Source organism: Homo sapiens, chromosome 3 (assembly GCF_000001405.40).
Source record: "Homo sapiens chromosome 3, GRCh38.p14 Primary Assembly".
Classification (NCBI taxonomy): domain Eukaryota; kingdom Metazoa; phylum Chordata; class Mammalia; order Primates; family Hominidae; genus Homo; species Homo sapiens.
In genome coordinates this window covers 136,369,532-136,392,746 of record NC_000003.12, presented here as the reverse complement: position 1 = coordinate 136,392,746, position 23,215 = coordinate 136,369,532, and the positions used below count along the sequence as shown (strand labels likewise).

Below are 23,215 nucleotides of genomic sequence, written 5' to 3'. Positions count from 1 at the left end.
TCACCCAGGGTGGAATGCAGTTGCACAATCTCGGCTCACTGCAACCTCCATCTCCCAGGTTCAAGCGATTGTCCTCCGTCAGCCTCCCCAGTAGCTGGGACTACAGGCGCATGCCACCACGCTTGGCTGACTTTTTGTATTTTTAGCAGAGACGGGGTTTCACCGTGTTAGCCAGGATGGTCTCGATCTGCTGACCTTGTGATCCACCTGCCTCAGCCTCCCGAAGTGCTGGGATTACAGCCATGAGCCACTGCGCCCAGCCTGGTTTATTTTCTTTAGTGCTTTTTCTTTAATATATTTGTAATTTTATTGAGATTACAATGTACTTTCAATTTTTATCTTCTCTTCAATTAACATATTTTCTTCAGTTATTAAGAAAAGTTTATAGAGAATATTTTTAATATATGCATAATCTATTGTGTAGCTATACCGTAATTTATTTTACCTCTCTCCGCTCTTAGATATTTGGGTTTAAATATTTTTACTAATAAAATTAATGCTGTGATGATGGGCATTCTGGTGCAAAAAGCTTGTTCTGTGTTTTTCATTGTTTCATCTTGTATTATATTCTTAGAAATGGAATTGCTAGGTCAATGATTGTATATACTTTTAAGGTTCTTGATGCATACTGCCAAATCGCTTTTTAAAGAGTACTTTTCTAAAATTTTTTTTCTTTTCTATTGTCATAAACACTCATTCAGGAGATTATGAATGGTAGTTATAATTGAAGTTTAAATTCAAGTTATAATTTAACTCAACAGTAAACACTATTAAATAAAGTTTATGAGAAGACTATATCAAGAAAAAGCTTTGATCGTTATTTGAAATGGAAGTGCACTGGGTTTCACCAATAGGTTTTCCTCTGTTCCCCTGATTCCCAGAGTTGGAAGCTCTGGGGCAGTCTTACAGGTTATGCTAAGTATACTTTGCTCCAGTGCCCCCTAGTGCTGGTCCTGTGGAAGTAACCTTCATTTTTTCTTTGTAGCAGAAAACATCCTTCTTCCTTCAGCTCCTTCTGGACATACACAAAGACATTTAAAGAGCCAGGCAAATAAGAGTTAGGGCTAAAATGGGCCGGGCATGGTGGCTTACGCCTGTAATCCCAGCACTTTGGGAGGCCGAGGCGGGCAGATCACAAGGTCAAGAGATCAAGACCATCCTGGCCAACATGGTGAAACCCTGTCTCTACTAAAAATACAAAAGTTAGCTGGGCATGGTGGCGTGCGCCTGTAGTCCCAGCTACTTGGGAGGCTGAGGCAGGAGAATCGCTTTAACCCAGGAGGCGGAGGTTGCAGTGAGCCAAGATTATGCCACTGCACTCCAGCTTGGCGACAGAGTGAGACTCTGTCTCAAAAAAAGAAAAAAAAAAAAAAAAAAAGAGGGCTAAAGTAATGCCCTATTACTTTCTTTGGCCTGCGGATCTAGAATTTATCCTTATTTTTTTTCTCTCCTGGGAGGAGCTGTCCTGCTTTCTGTAGTCTTATATTTGTGCTACTCTCTCTGCCTTACCCTGCATGTTTCTATTCTAGACTGCAATAGGGAGGGCCTGGGCCAAACATCCCTACCTCTGGACCCTCACCCTATTTCAAATCCTTTATGTCAAAGAAAGTCAATATACCCTAGGTAGCTACAAGTCCAATTATTATTGAGGTATTTAGCTGTAAAATTTGTCCTTCCATCACTGTCTTGACTAAAGGTTCTCCTCTGAAAATTCCAACTTGTTGACCTGCAAACAGACTGGAGAAAAGAGCAGTAAGGGTGAAGGTGGGACTGATAGTGGCCAAGCCCCATGAGAAGACATGTTTAACCTTGCTGTCCTTCCCACAAACATGCATTCCTACAAATGTGTTAGAAATAGGCTCAGATGTGTAAAAATCTACAGGCTGCTTTCTGTAGCTCTTTCTTTTCTCTTCCCTACCCACTCCTTCAGAATAGCAGTGAGCAAGAGATAGCTCATTAGAGTCCTGGCCCGGAATTCCTGTAATAACAAAATACAGATAGCAACTCCCTATCTGCAGAGTTAACTGCTTTGAGAGGAAGGGAGTGGGGCCAGGCGTGAGAAATAATAGTGATCCTTGTAGGAACAAATTTTTAGTCGCATGTAAGCATTTTATTTCACTTCTTTTCTTAGAGAATCTTTGCCCCCACCTTTTATTTATTGGAAATTCTGTTCCATTAGTTAGTTCTAAGCCTTTCCTTTCGGTCGTTCCATGACTCCAGAGTTGTTCTTTAATACATGTGTTCCTGTTAATATTATGTCCAATCACAAGTGCCTGATTGGCTGGTCTAGAAAAGTTAGAGAAGAAAGATACAGGTCTTGTTTAATATCCATTTCATGTTCAGCTCTCAGAATATTCATTTAAAAGAATCTGGAATGTAAAAGTAGGTGTCTATTCATACCAAATTCAGAACTTCTCCAAAATTATATTCAACCCAATATTTTAAAATTCTCTGAAAACCAGAAATAAATATCTTCGATTTAGAAAATGACTTACAAGTCATGGTTTCAGCATTCCATTAAGAGTACCATGTTGTGTTTGCAGCCCTGTTCCTGAGTCCCTAGATATAGAGGCTTGCTTGCTGGTAGGGAATCCCCTCTTTAAAAATAGCATAAGGGGCCGGGCGTGGTGACTCACACCTCTAATCCCAGCAATTTGGGTGGCCAAGGTGGGCAGATCACAAGGTCAGGAGTTCAAGAGCAGCCTGGCCCATATGGTGAAACCCCATCTCTACCAAAAATAGAAAAAATTAGTTGGGCGTGGTGGCGGGCACCTGTAGTCCCAGCTACTCGGGAGGCTGAGGCAGAAGAATCGCTGGAACCCGGGAGGCAGAGGTTGCAATGAGCCAAGATCATGCCACTGCACTCCGGCCTGGGTGACAAAGTGAGACTCCATCTCAAAAAAAAAAAAGAAAAAAAAATAGCATAAGGCCAGGTGCGGTGGCTCACACCTGTAATCCCAGAACTTTGGGAGGCCAAGATGGGTGGATCACCTGAGGTCAGGAGTTTGAGACCAGCCTGGCCAACATGGTAAAACCCCATCTCTACTAAAAATACAAAAATTAACCAGATGTGGTGGCACACGCCTGTAATCCCAGCTACTCAGAAGGCCGAGGCAGGAGAATTGCTGGAACCCAGGAGGTGGAGGCTGCAGTGAACTGAGATGGCACCACTGCACTCCAGCCTGGGCGACAAAGCAAGAATCCATCTCAGAAAAGAATGATAAAAATAAATAAATCCAGCCTGACCAATATGGTGAAACCCCGTCTCTACTAAAAATACAAAAAAATTAGCCAAGTGTGGTGGTGTGCGCCTGTAGTCCCAGCTACTCAGGAGGCTGAGACAGAAGAATTGCTTGAACTGGGAGGCGGAGATCACACCACTGCACTCCACCCTGCGTGACAGAGTGAGACTCAGTCTCAAAAAAAATTAAATAAGCAAATAAGTAAATAAAGCATAAGGCCTTCTCAGCCTCACTAGCCTGTCCCCAGTGAATGCTGTTTTTACTTATTAAGAGACAGTTGCCTCGTTTACAAATATCCAAACTTCTTAAGACATTTAATACTTCATGATCTAAGTAACAAGGCAGGACCAAGATAATTAATTCTAAGTAACAAGTATTACATTGTAAAAATATGTTTTCACTAAGCTTATCAGAAGCCTAAAACAATATTAAGAATATTTAGACACTTTGGGAGGCCGAGGCAGGAGGATTGGTTGAGGCCAGGAGTTCAAGACCAACTTGGCCAACATAGTGAGATCCCATCTCTATTTTTTAAACTTATTATATATAAAAAAAGAATATTTAGACAAAACATAACACTTTCTAGTACAGAGATTTGAGATTTCCTCCACCAAAATTAATGATAAAAGAAGTTTCCTTTCCTGTCAGGTTATTTATTTGAGTAAAAAAGAAATGGGTATCTTATCCTGCTTAATATCCCCTAAGTGGTACAGTAATCATTTTCCTTACTACAGTAGGTTTTTCATTAAAAATTGTTTTTCCTAATAAGTAACAGTTACTAGTTGTTTGTTAAATGACTTCTTGTTGCTTACACAATTTATCTATGTAAGTAGCTCCCTGCCAGGTGCGGTGGCTGATGCCTGTAATTTCAGCACTTTGGGAGGCTGAGGTGGGCGGATCTGGAGGCCAGGAGTTCGAGATGAGCCTGACCAACATGGTGAAACCCTGTCTCCACTAAAAATATAAAAATTAGCTGGGCGTGGTGGTGTGTGCCTGTAATCCCAGCTACTCAGGAGGCTGAGGCAACAGAATCGCTTGAACCCAGGAGGCGGAGGTTGCAGTGAGCCAAGATCGCACCACTGCACTCCAGCCTGGGCAACAGAGCGAGACTCCATCTCAAAAAAACAAACAAACAAAAAAGCAGCTCCCAGTTCTTCTGTTTCCAGCATTTTGTGTGTGTGTTGGAACATGGTCTTTGGAGTTAAAATTGAGTTTGAATTTTTACTCCACTTCTTACCACCTGTGGCAAGATAAGCAAGGTACTTCACCTTGAGCTTCACTTTCCTGATATATAAAATGAGAATGATACTCACTGCTGGATAGGTTTGTTGAGAAGATGAAATTGAAAGAAGTGTTTGAATTAACAGTAAATGTTATTTTGTTGGCACTAAGTCGCAGTCCTAATCTTTGTTTTTGTAGTCTTCTCCCCTGCTCAAACCAAAATGAACTATTGAACTATTGCCTGAGGCCATGGGCATACATAAACATACTTAATGGGTAGTGTAGGTTTGGGATACAGCGTGATAGATTTAGTCCTCCATCTGAATTTTTGGGATAATTTGGGAATTCAAGTCTCTCACTTTGGTCCTAACAGTCACTGCTTTTCCCCTGTTCCTCTGACTCCTTCTTTAGCTTCCTTCATCTTTGTATACTACAGGAAAGAAATCAGAAGATGTTTTGGAACTACAGTAGGCAGCTTAAGGGTTCCTGGATCATAAGTGGATTAGCCTTTGAGGCAATGGCAGGAGTCAGCAGGTGGGGATTCAGATCGCCAAGAGCAGCAACAACACTGAAAACTAGGTATTACATTTGGGGTTTAAATATCAAATAGTCGTTTTATTATATATTCACAAAAGTTGCACACTCTCCCCCTATCCCTCTGAAGAAAGTTGCCAGTAGCAATTACTCTTAGAAGAAAACAATCTCAGAAATACAGCATAGTGTTTACCCTTCTACAATGGTGGGGCCTTTTGTGTCTTGTTCTTTTTGTCACTTGTTCCAAGTGAATGAATTTAGTTCTGTTTTATATATAGTATGGATAATGACTTACTTCAGGTGAAAAGTAATTTAATGAGCCTTGTTATATATTAGTCACTGTGGTAGGTACAAAAAAACATAATACAGTTTGTCTCCAAAGATCTTTATAGCTCAGAACAGGCTCAGCAGACTTCAGACCATGGGCCAAATCTGACCTGATGTGTTTTTGTAAATGATGTTTTATTGGAACACAACCATGCTCATTCATTTAAGTACTATCTAGGACTATTTCATGCTACACTGACAGTTAAGTAGTTGGATCCAGACCATATGGACTGCAAAGCCTAAAATATTTACTATCTGATCCTTAACACAAAAAGTTTGCCAACCAGTGGCCTAATAAGTTAACTTCTTTGCCTTGTGTACCAAACTTTGTCAGTTAGAAAAACGTATTTGCCTATTCTGGGTAAGCAGTTTAGTTTTGTGCTGCCTTTTCATCATGAAAATTGATCACTAAATTTTTAGCAGGCTTTATTTTTGTATTCTGAGAATTTTTATCTGGTCTAGGTCCTTGTTTTGCTACTTTACTGTTTATTTCTGCCCATTCCAAAAATCTATATTTGTCAGATAATGTTGAGCTAAAGTTTTATGTGTTTACTAATTAGTTTTTCCATGGCTTCATTTTCTGACTGTGATTATGTTAACCGTATTTCATAGTTATGGATGAAAACGCAACTAAATTTGGTCCTCCGCTAGCCATGTAAAATTTTGGAACAAAGCCTGGGCAACATGGTGGTACCTGGTCTCTACAAAAAAATACCAAAAAAAAAATTAGCTAGGTGTAGTGGTGTGTGCCTGTAGTGCTTGCTACTATTGTGGAAGAAAATTAAAAGGAATCACACATTTAAAATCTATATACTTCTGTTTTTGTGTGTATAGGTATTAAACTCCCTTACCTTTCCTCACTGACTGTAATCATACAGTTTGCTGTTATGGGTCAGTCTACATTTAAAGATCTTTTTTCTTCCTAAGATGTCAAATTTGAGCCTTTGTGCCTTTAGGAAAGCTTCTTTCTAATATAGCTTATATGATAAATTCACCATCTTAATTGTGCCTTCCATATTTGGGGTTCTTCATTGTTGATATCTTGCTGACAAGACTTTTATTTTATTTTTATTTATTTATTTTTGCGACAGAGTCTCACTCTGTTGCCCAGGCTGGAGTGCAATGGCACGATCTCGGCTCACCACAACCTCCGCCTCCTGGGTTCAAGCAATTCTCCTGCCTCAGCCTCCTGAGTAGCTGGGATTACAGGCGTGCACCACCATGCCCAGCTAATTTTTTTTGTATTTTTAGTAGAGACGGTGTTTCACCATATTGTCCAGGCTGGTCTCAAACTCCTGACCTTGTGATCCGCCTGCCTCGGCCTCCCAAAGTGCTGGGATTACAGGCATGAGCCACTGCGCCCGGCCAAGACTGTATTTTAAAAACGTCAACTTAATTTGTTGAAAGAGGTTTCTCTTCTTGGCTAAGCATGGTGGCTAATGCCCGTAAGCCCAGCGCTTTGAGAGGCTGAGGCGGGAGGATTGTTTGAGCCCAGGAGTTCAAAGTCAGCCTGAGCAACATATCAAGACCTTGTCTCTACAAAAAATATAAAATTAGCCCAGGTGTGGTAGCACACATCTATATTCCCAGCCCCTTGGGAGGCTGAGACAAGAGGATCACTTGAGCCCAGGAGTTCAAGGCTGCATTGAGCTATGATTGTGCCACTGCACTCCAGCCTGGGAGACATAGTGAGACCCTGTCTCTTTAAGAGGTTTCTCCTCTTATCTTGGTTAGTAGATCACTGATAAACTGAAACTATTTTAGCCCTTTTATATATGGGTATATGTAGGTTTCAGTCTTCTAATTCTCGGTTTCACTAGATCTACCAGGAAGCAAAAACCTTAGCCAATCTAATAAAGCTACTTGCAAAATGGATACAAAATATAACCAAGATACTATGATTTACATCTCAGTGTGATCTTACTACTCGAGCCATCTGAATTCCTTTCTGCAGGTACTCTAGGAAAAAGTTGGTTTTCTGTAGAGACAGGGTCTCACTCTATTGCTCAGGCCAGAGTGCAGTGGCACGGTCATGGCTCACTGCAGCCTCAATCTCCCAGGCTCAAGAGATCCTCCCGCCTCAGCCTCCTGAGTAGCTGGGACTATAGGTGCATGTCACCACACCTGGCTGATATATTGTAGAGACAGGTCTTGTTTTGTTGCCCAGGCTGATCTTGATCTCCTGGCCTCAAGCGTTCCTCCTGCCTCCCCCTCCCAAAGTACTGGGATTATAGGTGTGAATTGCCCCACCCAGCCAGAAAAAGTGCTTTTGATGCCATGCTGCTTTCTAAAAATAAGATAAAATATTGGTTTCATTTAGGAAAAAGAAAATTTGAAAGGAAGCATCAATATAAGGACATTTTATATGAACTAAGAGAAGTAGATAAAGTAGCATAGATTACTCTTCTGTATTCACCCATTAGCTTCAGTTCCCACTCCTGTAATCCAGGTAATCTGACTAGAAAGGGGATTTGTGGAAGTAAAATTCCAATGTATTCTAGTTTCTTAAAATGACAGTCTGTATAATCAGCATATCTTGTTCTTGTATTATTCTTTTTCAGTGTCTAGTGAGTTAACTGGCTTTTTTGTTTATATATAAATATATTTGAGTAATTCAACTTTCAAATTTCTTACTTACTTTTTTTTTTTTTTCTTGAAATGGAGTCTCACTCTGTTGCCCAGGCTAGAGTGCAGTGGCGTAATCTCAGCTTACTGCAACCTCCGCCTCCCAGGCTCAAGTGATCCTTCTGCCTCAGCCTCCAGAGTATGGGACTAAAGGCGTATGCCATCACGTCTGGCTAATTTTTTGTATTTTTGGTAGAGATGGGGTTTCACCTGTTTGGCCAGGCTGGTATCAAACTCTTGACCTCAAGTGATCCACCCACCTTGGCCTCCCAAAGTGCTAAGATTACAGGTGTGAGCCACCACGACTGGCCTCAAATTTCTTTTTTTTTTTTTTTTCTTCTTCTTTTTGAGACGGAGTCTTGCTCTGTTGCCGAGGCTGGAGTGCAATGGTGCAGTCTTTGCTCTCTGTAACCTACACCTCCAAGGTTCAAGCAGTTCTCCTGTCTCAGCCTCTGGAGTAGCTAGGACTACAGACATGTGCCACCACACCCGGCAGTTTTTGTATTTTTAGTAGAGATGGGGTTTTGCCATGTTGGCCAGGCTGGTCTCGAGCTCCTGACCTCAGGTGATCCACTCACCTCAGCCTCCCAAAGTGCTAAGATTACAGGCATGAGCCACCACACCCAGCCAAATTTCTTACTTTCATAATGCTGCCTGTCTCTGCAAGTTGCCACATATTAATTTTATCATATTAAAGAGTCATTATAGCATACTGGTTAAGACCACAGTCTGGAGGCAGACTGCTTTTGTTATTTCACTTTGCTACTTAATGGCTCTGTGTCTTTGGGCCTGTTGCTTAACATCTCTGTGACTGTTTCTGTTTCTTTTTTTTTTTTTTTTTTTGAGACGGAGTCTTGCACTGTTGCCCAGGCTGGAGTGCAGTGGTGCGATCTCGGCTCACTGCAAGCTCTGCCTCCTAGGTTCATGCCATTCTCCTGCCTCAGCCTCCCGAGTAGCTAGGACTACAGGCGCCTGCCACCACGCTCAGCTAATTTTTTGTATTTTTAGTAGAGACGGGGTTTCACCGTGTTGGCCAGGATGGTCTCGATCTCCTGACCTCGTGATCCGCCCACCTCGGCCTCCCAAAGTGCTGGGATTACAGGCGTGAGCCACCGCGCCTGGCCGTGCCTGTTTCTTTATACATAAAGTGGGGGTGATAATACCAATACCTATCACAGTTGTAAGGATCAGTTGTTAATCTGTGAAAAATTTAGATTAGTGCCTGGCAAGTAGTAAGTGTGGATAAATGTTAACTTTTATTATTATTGTATTCTGGCCCAGATAAAATGAAGTAAGTTAAGCATATTTACTTTTTTTCATAATGAATTACAGCTATTATAGCAGATGAGAAGTGACAGTATCCATAATATGAGGAATGTAACTTTTTTCAAATTAAAAAGCAGTCAGTGATATATTTTAAAAGAATTCATAGTAAGTGTGCTAATTTTCACCTATTTAGAGCAAGCTCTTATAATTTGCCCTATTCCAAATCTTTTTATATTTCTTTTTCTTTTTCTCTTGAATATTATCTATTGTTCTTTAAGGGGCATTAAGAGTAAAGCTAACTCTATGAGACTTCTTTGTTTTCTTACTATTGGAGTCTTAAATTGGCAAATCCTGAACTAATTTCAAAATCTTGATGTAACACCCTGAAAATGTATAGATACTTACTATCACATGACCCAGTAATGGCAGCCTTCCTCAACTTGAGCAAAATCACAGTCTTGGGAATCATAATTCCCACTACTTAAATGAAATGAAGTATAGTAACAGGCCAACATCATGAAGTGGATGAATAAAAGCACTGAGTTCTGAAATTTTCAGGAACCTAAATTATCTTCCCAACTGTTCAAAGGATTTACTATAAGAGATTAACTAACTTTGTTAAGTATACAATATCTGTGCTTATTTACCCAAATCTGTCAGTATGTATAATTCTCTCAGTGGAATATAGTTACAATTAAATTAACTTTCTTGAGCACTCAAATAATATTTAGTTTGCATCCAAATCTAGGCCAAACTTTATTGCTAAAGAAGGTCTTTAGTCCATCCCCATTGGGAAAAAATAATAACAATAAAGAAAGCCTGGCCAGGCGTGGTGGCTCATGCCTCTAATCCCAGCACTTTGGGAGGCCAAGACGGGTAGATCACCTAAGGTCAGGAGTTCGAGACCAGCCTGGTCAACATGGCGAAACCCTGTCTCTACTAAAAATACAAGAAAAAAAATAGTAGCTGGGCGTGGCAGTGGGCACCTGTAATCCCAGCTTTTTGGGAGGCTGAGGTAGGAGAATCGCTTGAACCCAGGAGGCAGAGGTTGCAATGAGCCGAGATAGCGCCACTGCACTCCAGCCTGGGCGATAAAAGCAAAACTCTGTCTCAAAAAAAAAAAAAAAAAAGAAAGCCTTGGTTGTTTCACATTTCCAGTGTCTCTTAAAATACTACTGTTAATTAGTTCATCAGTTGATTGCTTACTTATTTGTGGTATTAAATGTACTACTCTTTAGATGTTTTGGGAAGTAATCATTTTACATAAGACACATTTGCTTTGTGTTCAGCCTTTATAAAGGAATCCTTTGCCTCCAACTCCTAAGATGGCTGATTCCCTAGACTTTCTTACATACTAATCAAGAAATCTGAGGGAGTAAAGGAACATTAGTAACTCCTAGCATCATTTCTTAAAAACCCAATAATTATTTATTGTTTGATGAAATTAACACATTATAAGTTGCCCCCAGGATTGTGGTAAACATCCATATTAAGTATACCAACATTTCATTGAGTAACTATTTATTAAATATCTACTATATGCAAAGCACTATTTTAGGTACTAACAGTGGAACAGTGTTCCTTTGAATACTGGAAGGTTTACAAGTTGACAGCTATCTGTTCTCATTTGAGTTTCATAGAGTTAATTTAGCAGAATCAGAGTAACATAGAACCTTAGAATACCTAGTTCAACTCTCTTGTTTATAGATTTTAAAAATCTTTAATCCTGAGATGTAAAATAATTTTTCTGAGATCATATAGCTAGTTAATAGCATTGCTTGCTTTTTGTTCTTTTAGTTACTTTTCATTCAGCAAACATTCTCACATCTTTTCTATTAAAAAGGTCAAGAATGACCAAAAAAAAATCCATCAACCTTAAAAGACTTCTATCAGCCCCATCCTATTTTTCACTGACTCTTTATAATCATACTTTTTTGAAAGAGTTGACTTCTTCCTTATCTTCCTTTCAGCTTACTGCAGTCTGATTCAGCACTCATAACTCCATTGAAAGTGCTCTCCCCAAGGTTACCCACAGCTTCATAATTGCTATATCCCTGGCACTTTTAATACTTATCTCTAATCTCTCTGTGGCATTTGTCATTGTTAATTATTCATTTTTTTAATGTTTTCTTACCTCCGGGATATCATATTCCCCTGGTTTTATTTCTACTTCTCAAATAATTTCTTAGATTTCTTCATAAGCTCTTCTTTGTCATTCATCTTTCAAATATTGGTATTTCCCAGGATACTTGCTGTCACCTTTCTCTGTGTATTCTCCTTGAGCAGTCTCATCCACTTCTGACACATCTGTTGCTATCTAAATGCTGAAGACTCCCAAATCCTTGTTTACTTCTTTCTCTTAGGCTTTGAACTCACATACGCAGCTGCCTACTAGACATCTTCAAGATATCTATTAGGGATCTCAAAATCATCATCTCTAAAATTTAACTATTACTAACTGCATTTGTTCCTATGTTTCTTTTTTTTTTTTTTTCTTTTTTTTTTTTCGAGACAGGGTCTTACTCTGTCTCCCAGGCTGGAGTGCAGTGGCACAATCAATCTCAGCTCACTGCAACCTCCACCTCCTGGGTTCAAGCGATTCTCTTGCCTCAGCTTCCTGAGTAGTTGGGATTACAGGCACCCACCACCACGCCCGGCTCATTTTTGTATTTTTAGTAGAGACTGGATTTCATCATGTTGCCCAGGCTGGTCTTGAACTCCTGACCTCAGATGATCCGCCAACCTCAGCCTCCCAAAGTGCTCGGATTACAGGCGTGAGCCATCATGCCTGGCCTGTTCCTGTGTTTTTTATCTTGATGACTTAATACCACAATTCCTCTAGTAGGCAGCTCCCTAGAAATTAAGGAGTAATCATCAACAGGCTCTACCCGATTGCTCCCTAAATTCTATCAGTTCTACTGCTTTATCTTTCATCTATCCATATCTTTAGAGCCAATATATTATTTTCAGGCCCTCATTCTAAATTATCCCTGGCTGGGCACGGTGGCTCACGCCTGTAATCCTAGCACTTAGTGAGGCTGAGACTGGCGGATCACGAGGTCAGGAGATCAAGACCATCTTGGCCAACATGGTGAAAACCCGTATCTACTAAAAATACAAAAATTAGCCAGGTATGGCAGCACACACCTGTAGTCCCAGCTACTCAGGAGGCTGAGGCAGCAGAATTGCTTGAACCCGGGAGACAGAGGCTGCAGTGGGCCAAGATCGCACCACTGCACTCCAGCCTGGGTGACAGAGTGAGACTCCGTCTCAAAAAAAAAAAAAATCCTATGGCCTTTGTTAATATGCAATAAAATACACAGTAATGATTAAGAACATGGACTTTAGAGTCAGACAGCCCCACGTTTGAATCCTTGCTCTGTCACTTAGCATCTATGGGTGCTGTGAGTATCAGTTTTCTTGTCTGTAAAATAGGAATATTACCATTTACTTTGTAGGGTGATGGTGAAATGTAAATTTATAGTTCTGGGAACACAGTATGTGGTACATATCAGCTCTCAACGAAAGATGTGACTACTCTAACTGGCCTATTCCACATCATTCTCCATTGTGTTTAGAATATGATTCATTTACACAAAATTTTAGCACTCTTATGCTAAAAATCCTTCTTCAGTAGTTCCTCATTGCCAGCAGGACAATATTCAAATGATTTAACGTGATATTTTAAATGGTCTTCTATGTAAATGCAAATGGTTTTATTCTTCTTTAGCTTTTTTTCTTGCTGCTGTCTTCCCTATTTATACCCCAGCTACAATAAATTAACAGTTCCTCAAAAGCACCTCTGCACTTTTTTGTTGTTGTTGAGATAGAGTCTTGCTCTATTGACCGGGCTGGGGTGCAGTGGCGCAGTCTCGGCTCACTGCAACCTCTGCCTCCCAGATTCAAGCCATTCTCCTGCCTCAGCCTCCCGAGTAGCTGGGATTACAGGCATGCACCACCACACGCGGCTAATTTTTCTATTTTTAATAGAGACGGGGTTTCATCATGTTGGCCAGGCTGGTCTCGAACTCCTGACCTCAGGTGATCTGGCCGTCTCAGCCTCCCAAAGTGCTGGGATTACAGGCGTGAGCCACCGCACCCAGCCACCTCTGCTTTTTTGAATATCTGTGCCTTAACTGGAATACCTTTTTCTGTAGCTAGATTATTTTTCTCCTTCAGGACTCAGCTTACATGTTATCTTCTTTGGGAACTCTTCCATGACTACTTTTGACTCTGAGTTAAGATTTTCCAACATGGGGCCCATGTTTTCTCCTACCATAGCACTCCTTACACTATATTGCAGTTGCCTGTTCTCTTATCTGTTTCCCTCAGTGTATTTTGAATGTTTAAAATTAAAGTTTCAGGAATGTTGAAGTTTAGTTATTAGATATTTATCTGCAGAAACATGAAAAGTTCTCAAGAGGGTGTCCTTTTTACTTCTCTCCACAAGATGAACTCGCTCCTTCTTCCACATACTATACTCATGTTAGCAAAAGAAAATATGTGTGTAATTTTTGAAGTATCATTATTTGGGATGTAAAGATCCCCAAAAAGACTAAGTGCTGTCATCTGTATAAAATAGAGTGGCTTAAAGAGTTTTAGTTGAGTACTTTTTAAGTGTTTCTATATTAGCCTTTGCTCAGGTAATTAGTCTGCATTACTGTTTTAAATGTTGGTATCTGCATGTGTCTTACTCATTAGTCAGTGAGAAGAATATGAGCTCTTATATCAGATAGTCCTAGTTTCAACCCCTCGCTAATAATTACTGTTTCTTAGGATCAATGTAAATGTTAAACTATATAATAGTAAGCCCTTAAACCAGTGCCTGGTGGGTTGTAAGCACTCGATAAATTTAAAATATTTTAAGCCAGGGTCTTGCTCTGTCACCCAGGCTGGAATGCAGTGGCACAATTATGTCTCACTTCAGCCTTGATCCCATGGGCTCAAGTGATCTTCCTGCCTCAGCATCCCCAGTAACTCGGACTACAGGCATGCTCCACCATGCGCGGCTAATTTTCTGTGTTGCCCACGCTGGTCTCCAACTCTTGGATTCAAGCAATCCTCTCAAACCTGGGCCTCCCAAAGCACTGGGATTGCAGGCATGAGCCACTGCACTCAACTTGAAATTTCCTTTTGGACTTTTCAAATGTTCCTTATGGAATCTTATCTGGCCATCTAATTAAATCTATTTACCCATCCAACCTTAGATTAAAGCCCATCCTCCTATGAAGATTTCTCCAACTTTGCTGCAGTTAAGAGTTAATACAATAACTGAACACTTCATCTCCGTAATTGGCCTGTCTGCTAGAATGTTAACTATTTGAGGGCATGGCACTGTCTTAAATTTATCTTTCTTCCCCTGACATTTTGCAGAGTGCTGAGATATAAGATAAATTCAGTACACATTTGTTGCCTAATTGAGTTTTTTCAGTGTGCTGCTCTGCTGCCTCACTTTACTAGCAGTAATGTGTGTCACAGGAATGACTAGCAATTTTAATCAACCTAAATAAACCATATTTATAAAGGAAATCTGTTGAAAACAATCATACTGAGTATTCCATAGCTAACTATAACTGTTTTAGAGTGTCAGTGTCACTACCCCTTCTATTAGGACAGATAACTAAGAAATGACTACATTAAATGGTTCCCAACATTAAATTTGGTTATATGAATTTCCTTGAGAATAAACCAGTTTTGCTATTTTCCACTTACTGTTTCTTCTAGATCAGTTTTCTGTGATCCTGTAATTCACGCTTGCAAATTTGAATGTGTCTTACAGGAGGATTTGTTGGTATTGAGGAAAACGGTGAAATCCTTTTTGGCTGTTTGCCAGCAGTGCCTGTCTAATGTTAATACTCCAGTGAAAGAACAGGTAAGAAATTATCAGTAAGAGCTCTCAATAAAATCAACTCAAATACATTAATGAACATTAAGAAGATACAATTTTTTATGGCAGTTTTTGTACACATGTTCATTCCTAACATTTACTGGACCTGGAACAAGACTGTAGATGTGTGAATTTATGTTATAAAGCAAGCTAACAAACTTATTATATAATATACATTCTTTCCTTTTACTTTCACAAGTATACTGTCATCAGCTGGAAGGGCAGGTTGAAATGTAGACTTTTTTTTTTTTTTTTTTTGAGACAGAGTCTCGCTCTGTCGCCCAGGCTGGAGTGCAGTGGCGCAATCTCGGCTCACTGCAAGCTCCGCCTCCCGGGTTCACGCCATTCTCCTGCCTCAGCCTCCCGAGTAGCTGGGACTACAGGCACCCGCCACTGCGCCCAGCTAATTTTTTGTATTTTTAGTAGAGACGGGGTTTCACCATGGTCTCGATCTCCTGACCTCGTGATCAGCCCGCCTCAGCCTCCCAAAGTGCTGAGATTACAGGCGTGAGCCACCGTGCCCGGCCGAAATGTAGACTTTTTGACTCCTAAGAATTGACACCAGAATGGCCGGGCGCAGTGGCTCACGCCTGTAATCCCAGCACTTTGGGAGGCCGAGGTGGGCAGATCACAAGGTCAAGAGATCGAGACTGTCAACCCCGTCTGTACTAAAAATACAAAAAAAAATTAGCCGGGCATGGTGGCAGGCGCCTGTAATCCCAGCTACTTGGGAGACTGAGGCAGGAGAATCGCATGAACCCGGGAGACAGAGGTTGCAGTGAGCCAAGATCGCGCCATTGCACTCCAGCCTGGGCAGAAAGAGCAAAACTCTCTCAAAAAAGATTAAAAAAAAGAATTCTACACCAGAATATTGAGGGTCTGGGGAGCTGACATATGACATACCCTTTTATCATCTTACCTTCAGCTCCTTCCCACACCAGTTAAGTTTCTCACACATGCATGCCAACACTTTAGCCCCACATCTTGAAACTCTTGTCAATACCACCCGCCCAAACAGCTGCCCATTCACCACCCAGGGGCCTAGTAATATGTACATTGGGTATGCAGTATGCCTAGAGAAGAGGCCTTTGCAGGCTCAGACAACAGGATCAGGACTGTAGGGCAAGGAGTTTCTGAGTCCCTATACTTGGACAATGGTGTAGAAGTGGGGTTTGGTAAGCAGGTGGGCATATCCCATTGGTCTGATAGATTCCTCATCTCTTGTAGAGGGGCACAGCCCAAAGAGGGTCAGGGTGGGGGTCAGGGTGGGCCAGGGAAGTACTGTTTCCATGATATGATTTTGTAAACTATTTTTTAAAATAGACTGTTGTATTGGGGAGTACATTTGTGTAAAACAAAATGTATATTTTCCATACTATTTCTTATTTTGATATTGGGCTAGAGTCGTTTGGTGAAAGAGTACAGTATTACTTATCCTTTGCTGTCTCTTATAAATAGTGACAAGTATCTTTATTGAGTTATCAGCATTTAACTTAAAATGGAAACAGAGATGGTCTTCCCTAAACCTTATTCTTTAAATCTTCAGAACACTACTTATGGAGAAATACCCAGCTCTGCCATTTATTTTATTTTGTTTTATTTTATTTTATTTTATTTTATTTTATTTTGTTAATTATTTATTTATTTATTTATTTATTTATTTATTTATTTATTTTGAGACGGAGTCTCCCACTGTTGCCCGGGCTGGTGTGCAGTGGCGTGATCTCGGCTCACTGCAACCTCCACCTCCTGAGTTCAAGCAATTCCCTGTCTCAGCCTCCCAAGTATCTGGGATTACAGGTGCCCACCACTACGCCTGGCTAATTTTTTTGTATTTTTAGTAGATATGGGTTTCACTGTGTTGGCCAGGCTGGTCTCAAACTCCTGACCTCATGATCTGCCTGCCTCAGCCTCCCAAAGTACTGGGATTACAGGTGTGAGCCACTGCACCTGGCCCAGCTCTGCCATTTAAACCCCAAATCCAGTGTTTCTGCATCAGACCTGCTTGGTGATGTCCAAAACTATGGCCTGCTGGTTAAAAAGTATTCCCTGTGGATTCTCTGTATGCTGCCTTTTTTTCAAATGGCTCTTTCTAAATACCTGAGTATATTTCATGGTTGTGCTGTCAGGGCATAAACTGCCAAGACTCTTGCTGCAGTTGGACAACCAGATATACAGTTATCCCAAACTAAATGCCAAAATTATGTTTTCCCATAGAAGTCAACTTTGGAGGGGGCAGTGTTAGTGGATTGTTTGGAAGTTTCAGAGCCCTCAATTATCCCACAACAAAATCTTTCTATTGTAATAAACTGATCAGACCCATTTATTTCACTCAATCCATTAAATAGGGCAAATTTGGCAGCATACCTATAATGTGTACAAATGTATTCAAAGTCTCTATATAATTAAATTTGTTTGGAGGCTTTATTAGATACTGGTTTTTATATGAATGGTTTTCTAATACAGTCATGCACCACTTAACAACAAGGATACATTGTGAGAAATGTGTTGTTAGGCAATTTCATCATTGTATGACCATCATAAGAGTATATTTACACAAACAAATGGTATTGCCTACCACATGCCTATGCTCTATGGTATGGCCTATTCCTCTTAGGCTATGATCCTGTACTGTATAATACTATACTGAGTAGTATAGATAATTATAATACAACTGGTATTTATATATCTAAACATATCTAAAATACAGTATAAAAGATTTAAAAATGGTATACTTACCATAAGAATGGAAGTAGCTCTGAGTGAGTGAATGAGTGATTGGTGAGTGAATAGGAAGGCCTAAGACATTACTATACATCACTGTAGACTCTATATGTACCATACACTTAGACTATACTAAATTAATTAAAATGTTTTTCTTTCTTCAATAATAAATTAACCTTATCATACTATAATTCTTTTTCTTTGTAAACTTTTTAATTTTTTTAACTTTTAAACTCTTTTGTAATAATACCTAACACACAAACACATTAAACAGCTGTACAAAAAAAAAAATTTTTTTTTTTTGAGACGGAGTTTTGCTCTTGTTGCCCAGGCTGGAGTGCAGTGGCACATTCTCGGGTCACCCCAACCTCCACCTCCCAGGTTCAAGCAATTCTCCTGCCTCAGCCTCCCTAGTAGCTGGAATTACAGGCGTGCACCACCACACCTGGCTAATTTTGTATTTTTAGTAGAGATGGGATTTCTCCATGTTGGTCAGGCTGGTCTCGAATTCCCAACCTCAGGTGATCCTCCCACCTTGGCCTCCCAAAATGCTAGGATTACAACTGTGAGCCACCGTGCCTGGCCAAAATATTTTTTTCTTATATCTTTATTCTAGAAGCTTTTTTCTATTTATTTTTGAATAAATACAGTGTGCTGTATCCAGGAAACCCATCTCACATGCAGGCACACACATAGGCTCAAAATTAAGGGATGGAGGAAGATCTACCAAGCAAATGGAAAACAAAAAAAGGCAGGGGTTGCAATCCTAGTCTCGGATGAAACAGACTTTAAACCAACAAAGATCAAAAGGGACAAAGAAGGCCATTACATAATGGTAAAGGGATCAATTCAACAAGAAGAGCTAAGTATCCTAAATATATATGCACCCAACACAGGAGCACCCAGATTCATAAAGCAAGTCCTTAGTGACCTACAAAGAGACTTAGACTCCCACACAATAATAATGGGAGACTTTAACACCCCACTGTCAATATTAGACAGATCAAGACAGAAAGTTAAAAAGGATATCCAGGAATTGAACTCAACTCTGCACCAAGCAGACCTAATAAACATCTACAGAACTCTCCACCCCAAATCAACAGAATATACATTCTTTTCAGCACCACACCTATTCCAAAATTGACCACATAGTTGGAAGTAAAGCAATCCTCAGCAAATGTAAAAGAACAGAAATTATAACAAACTGTCTCTCAGACCACAGTGCAATCAAACTAGAACTCAGGATTAAGAAACTCACTCAAAACCGCTCAACTGCATGGAAACCGAACAACCTGCTCCTGAATGACTACTGGGTACATAATGAAATGAAGGCAGAAATAAAGATGTTCTTTGAAACCAACGAGAACAAAGACACAACATACCAGAATCTCTGGGACACATTCAAAGCAGTGTGTAGAGGGAAATTTATAGCCCTAAATGCCCACAAGAGAAAGCCGGAAAGATCTAAAATTGACACCGTAACATCACAATTAAAAGAACTAGAGAAACAAGAGCAAGCACATTCAAAAGCTAGCAGACGGCAAGAAATAACTAAGATCAGAGCAGAACTGAAGGAAATAGAGACACAAAAAACCCTTCAAAAAATCAATGAATCCAGGAGCTGGTTTTTTGAAAAAATCAACAAAATTGATAGACCACTAGCAAGACTAATAAAGAAGAAAAGAGAGAAGAATCAAATAGACGCAATAAAAAATGACAAAGGGGATATCACCACCGATCCTACAGAAATACAAACTACCATTAGAGAATACTATAAACACCTCTATGCAAATAAACTAGAAAATCTAGAAGAAATGGATAAATTCCTCGACACATACACCCTCCCAACACTAAACCAAGAAGAAGTTGAATCTCTGAATAGACCAATAACAGGCTCTGAAATTGAGGCAATAATTAATAGCTTACCAACCAAAAAAAGTCCAGGACCAGATGGATTCACAGCCGAATTCTACCAGAGGTACAAGGAGGAGCTGGTACCATTCCTTCTGAAACTATTCCAATCAATAGAAAAAGAGGGAATCCTCCCTAACTCATTTTATGAGGCCAGCAGCATCCTGATACCAAAGCCTGGCGGAGACACAACAAAAAAAGAGAATTTTAGACCAATATCCCTGATGAACATTGATGCAAAAATGCTCAATAAAATACTGGAAAACTGAATCCAGCAGCACATCAAAAAGCTTATCCACCATGATCAAGTGGGCTTCATTCCTGGGATGCAAGGCTGGTTCAACATAGGAAAATCAATAAACGTAATCCAGCATATAAACAGAACCAAAGACAAAAACGACATGATTATCTCAATAGATGCATTAAAGGCCTTTGACAAAATTCAACAACCTTCATACTAAAAACTCTCAATAAATTAGGTATTGATGGGACGTGTCTCAAAATAATAAGAGCTATCTATGACAAACCCACAGTCAATATCATACTGGATGGACAAAAACTGGAAGCATTCCCTTTGAAAACTGGCACAAGACAGGGATGCCCTCTCTCACCACTCCTATTCAGTATAGTGTTGGAAGTTCTGGTCCGGGCAGTCAGGCAGGAGAAGGAAATAAAGGGCATTCAGTTAGGAAAAGAGGAAGTCAAATTGTCCCTGTTTGCAGATGACATGATTGTATATTTAGAAAACCCCATCGTCTCAGCCCAAAATCTCCTTAAGCTGATAAGCAGCTTCAGCAAAGTCTCAGGATACAAAATCAATGTGCAAACATCACAAGCATTCTTATACACCAATAACAGACAGCCAAATCATGAGTGAACTCCCATTCACAATTGCTTCAAAGAGAATAAAATACCTAGGAATCCAACTCACAAGGGATGTGAAGGACCTCTTCAAGGAGAACTACAAACCACTGCTCAATGAAATAAAAGAGGATACAAACAAGTGGAAGAACATTCCATGCTCATGGGTAGGAAGAATCAATATCGTGAAAATGGCCGTACTGCCCAGGGTAATTTATAGATTGAATGCCATCCCCATCAAGCTACCAATGACTTTCTTCACAGAATTGGAAAAAACTACTTTAAAGTTCACATGGAACCAAAAAAGAGCCTGTATTGCCAAGTCAATCCTAAGCCAAAAGAACAAAGCTGGAGGCATCATGCTACCTGACTTCAAACTATACTACAAGGCTACAGTAACCAAAACAGCATGGTACTGGTACCAAAACAGAGATATAGACCAATGGAACAGAACAGAGCCCTCAGAAATAATGCCGCATATCTACAACTATCTGATCTTTGACAAACCTGAGAAAAACAAGCAATGTGGAAAGGATTCCCTATTTAATAAATGGTGCTGGGAAAACTGGCTAGCCATATGTAGAAAGCTGAAACCAGATCCCTTCCTCACACCTTATACAAATATTAATTCAAGATGGATTAAAGACTTACATGTCAGACCTAAAACCATAAAAACCCTAGAAGAAAACCTAGGCATTACCATTCAGGACATAGGCACAGGCAAGGACTTCATGTCTAAAACACCAAAAGCAATGGCAACAAAAGCCAAAATTGACAAATGGGATCTAATTAAACTAAAGAGCTTCTGCACAGCAAAAGAAACTACCATCAGAGTGAACAGGCAACCTACAGAATGGGAGAAAATTTTTGCAACCTACTTATCTGACAAAGGGCTAATATCCAGAATCTACAATGAACTCAGACAGATTTACAAGAAAAAAACAACCACATCAAAAAGTGGACAAAGGATATGAACAGGCACTTCTCAAAAGAAGACATTTATGCAGCCAAAAAACACATGAAAAAATGCTCATCATCACTGGCCATCAGAGAAATGCAAATCAAAACCACAATGAGATACCATCTCACACCAGTTAGAATGGCGATCATTAAAAAGTCAGGAAACAACAGGTGCTGGAGAGGATGTGGAGAAATAGGAACACTTACATTGTTGGTGGGACTATAAACTAGTTCAACCATTGTGGAAGTCAGTGTGGCGATTCCTCAGGAATCTAGAACTAGACATACCATTTGACTCAGCCATCCCATTACTGGGTATATACCCAAAGGATTATAAATCATGCTGCTATAAAGACACACGCACACGTATGTTTATTGCGGCACTATTCACAATAGCAAAGACTTGGAACCAACCCAAATGTCCAACAATGATAGACCAGATTAAGAAAATGTGGCACATATACACCATGGAATACTATGCAGCCATAAAAAATGATGAGTTCATGTCCTTTGTAGGGACATGGATGAAGCTGGAAACCATCACTCTCAGCAAACTATCACAAGGACAAAAAACCAAACACTGCGTGTTCTCACTCATAGGTGGGAATTGAACAATGAGAACACATGGACACAGGAAGGGGAACATCACACACTGGGGACTGTTGTGGGGTGGGGGGAGTGGTGAGGGATAGCATTAGGAGATACACCTAATGCTAAATGATGAGTTAATGGGTGCAGCACACCAACATGGCACATGTATACCTATGTAACAAACCTGCACGTTGTGCACATGTACCCTAAAACTTAAAGTATAATAATAATATAATAATAAAATTAAAAAAAGAAACACATACATTAGCCTAGGCCTACAAAGTGTCAGAATTATCAGTATCAGTGTCTTCCACCTCCCACATGTCTCATTGGAACGTCTTCAGTGGCAGTATTTTGCATGGAGCTGTCGTATCCTATGATAATAATGCATTCTTCTGGAGTACCTCCTGAAGGACCTGCCTGAGGATGTTTCACAGTTAATTTTTTTCATAAGTAGGAGTACACTCTAAAATCATGATTAAAAGTATAGAATAGAAATTAGTATAGTATAGTATAGTATAGTATAGTATAGTATAGTATAGTATAGTAAATACATACGCCAGTAACATAGTCATTCATTATCCTCAAGCATTAGGTTCTATACACAAGTTAGATATGCTATACTGTTATACGACTGGCAGCATAATACACCAGCATCACCACAAACAACATCACAACAAACTCGTGAGTAATGTGTTGCACCACAGGGTTATGTTACTACATCACTAGGTGATAGGAATTTTTCAGCTCCATTACAAGCTTATGGGATCCACCATCATGTATATGCAGTTCATTATTGACGGAAACATCACTGTGCAGTAGTACACTGACATTTTTTAACATTAGAATTTTTAGAAATATTCATTATACTATGTTGAATTAGAGTTTCAAATTTTATGCTAATTTGATTAAGCAGTATACAATTGATTTCTAATCTTTGTTATAATCTATCAATTTTGTATTTGCAAAGTTGGGTTAAACTCATTTTGTTCTTTGACCTGTAATCAACACCTTGCTTAAACTCATTTTTTAAAAGTTCAAGTCAAACTATCTTAATGAGCTATTT

At 39.9% G+C, this 23,215-nt stretch overlaps 1 protein-coding gene across 8 annotated transcripts in view; it reads left to right on the top strand.

The window, feature by feature from the left end:
- Nucleotides 1-23,215, top strand: part of STAG1 (STAG1 cohesin complex component) — a 416,143-nt gene that overhangs the window by 359,632 nt on the left and 33,296 nt on the right. For 7 of the 8 annotated variants that reach the window (NM_005862.3, XM_047447229.1, XM_047447228.1 and 4 more), the window contains one exon: nucleotides 14,995-15,087. In NM_005862.3, coding sequence (NP_005853.2) covers nucleotides 14,995-15,087 — 93 coding nt within the window. Of the gene's footprint in view, nucleotides 1-4,874; nucleotides 5,043-14,994; nucleotides 15,088-23,215 lie in introns of those variants that run through there. The other variant, XR_001739978.2, reaches the window with a different exon arrangement.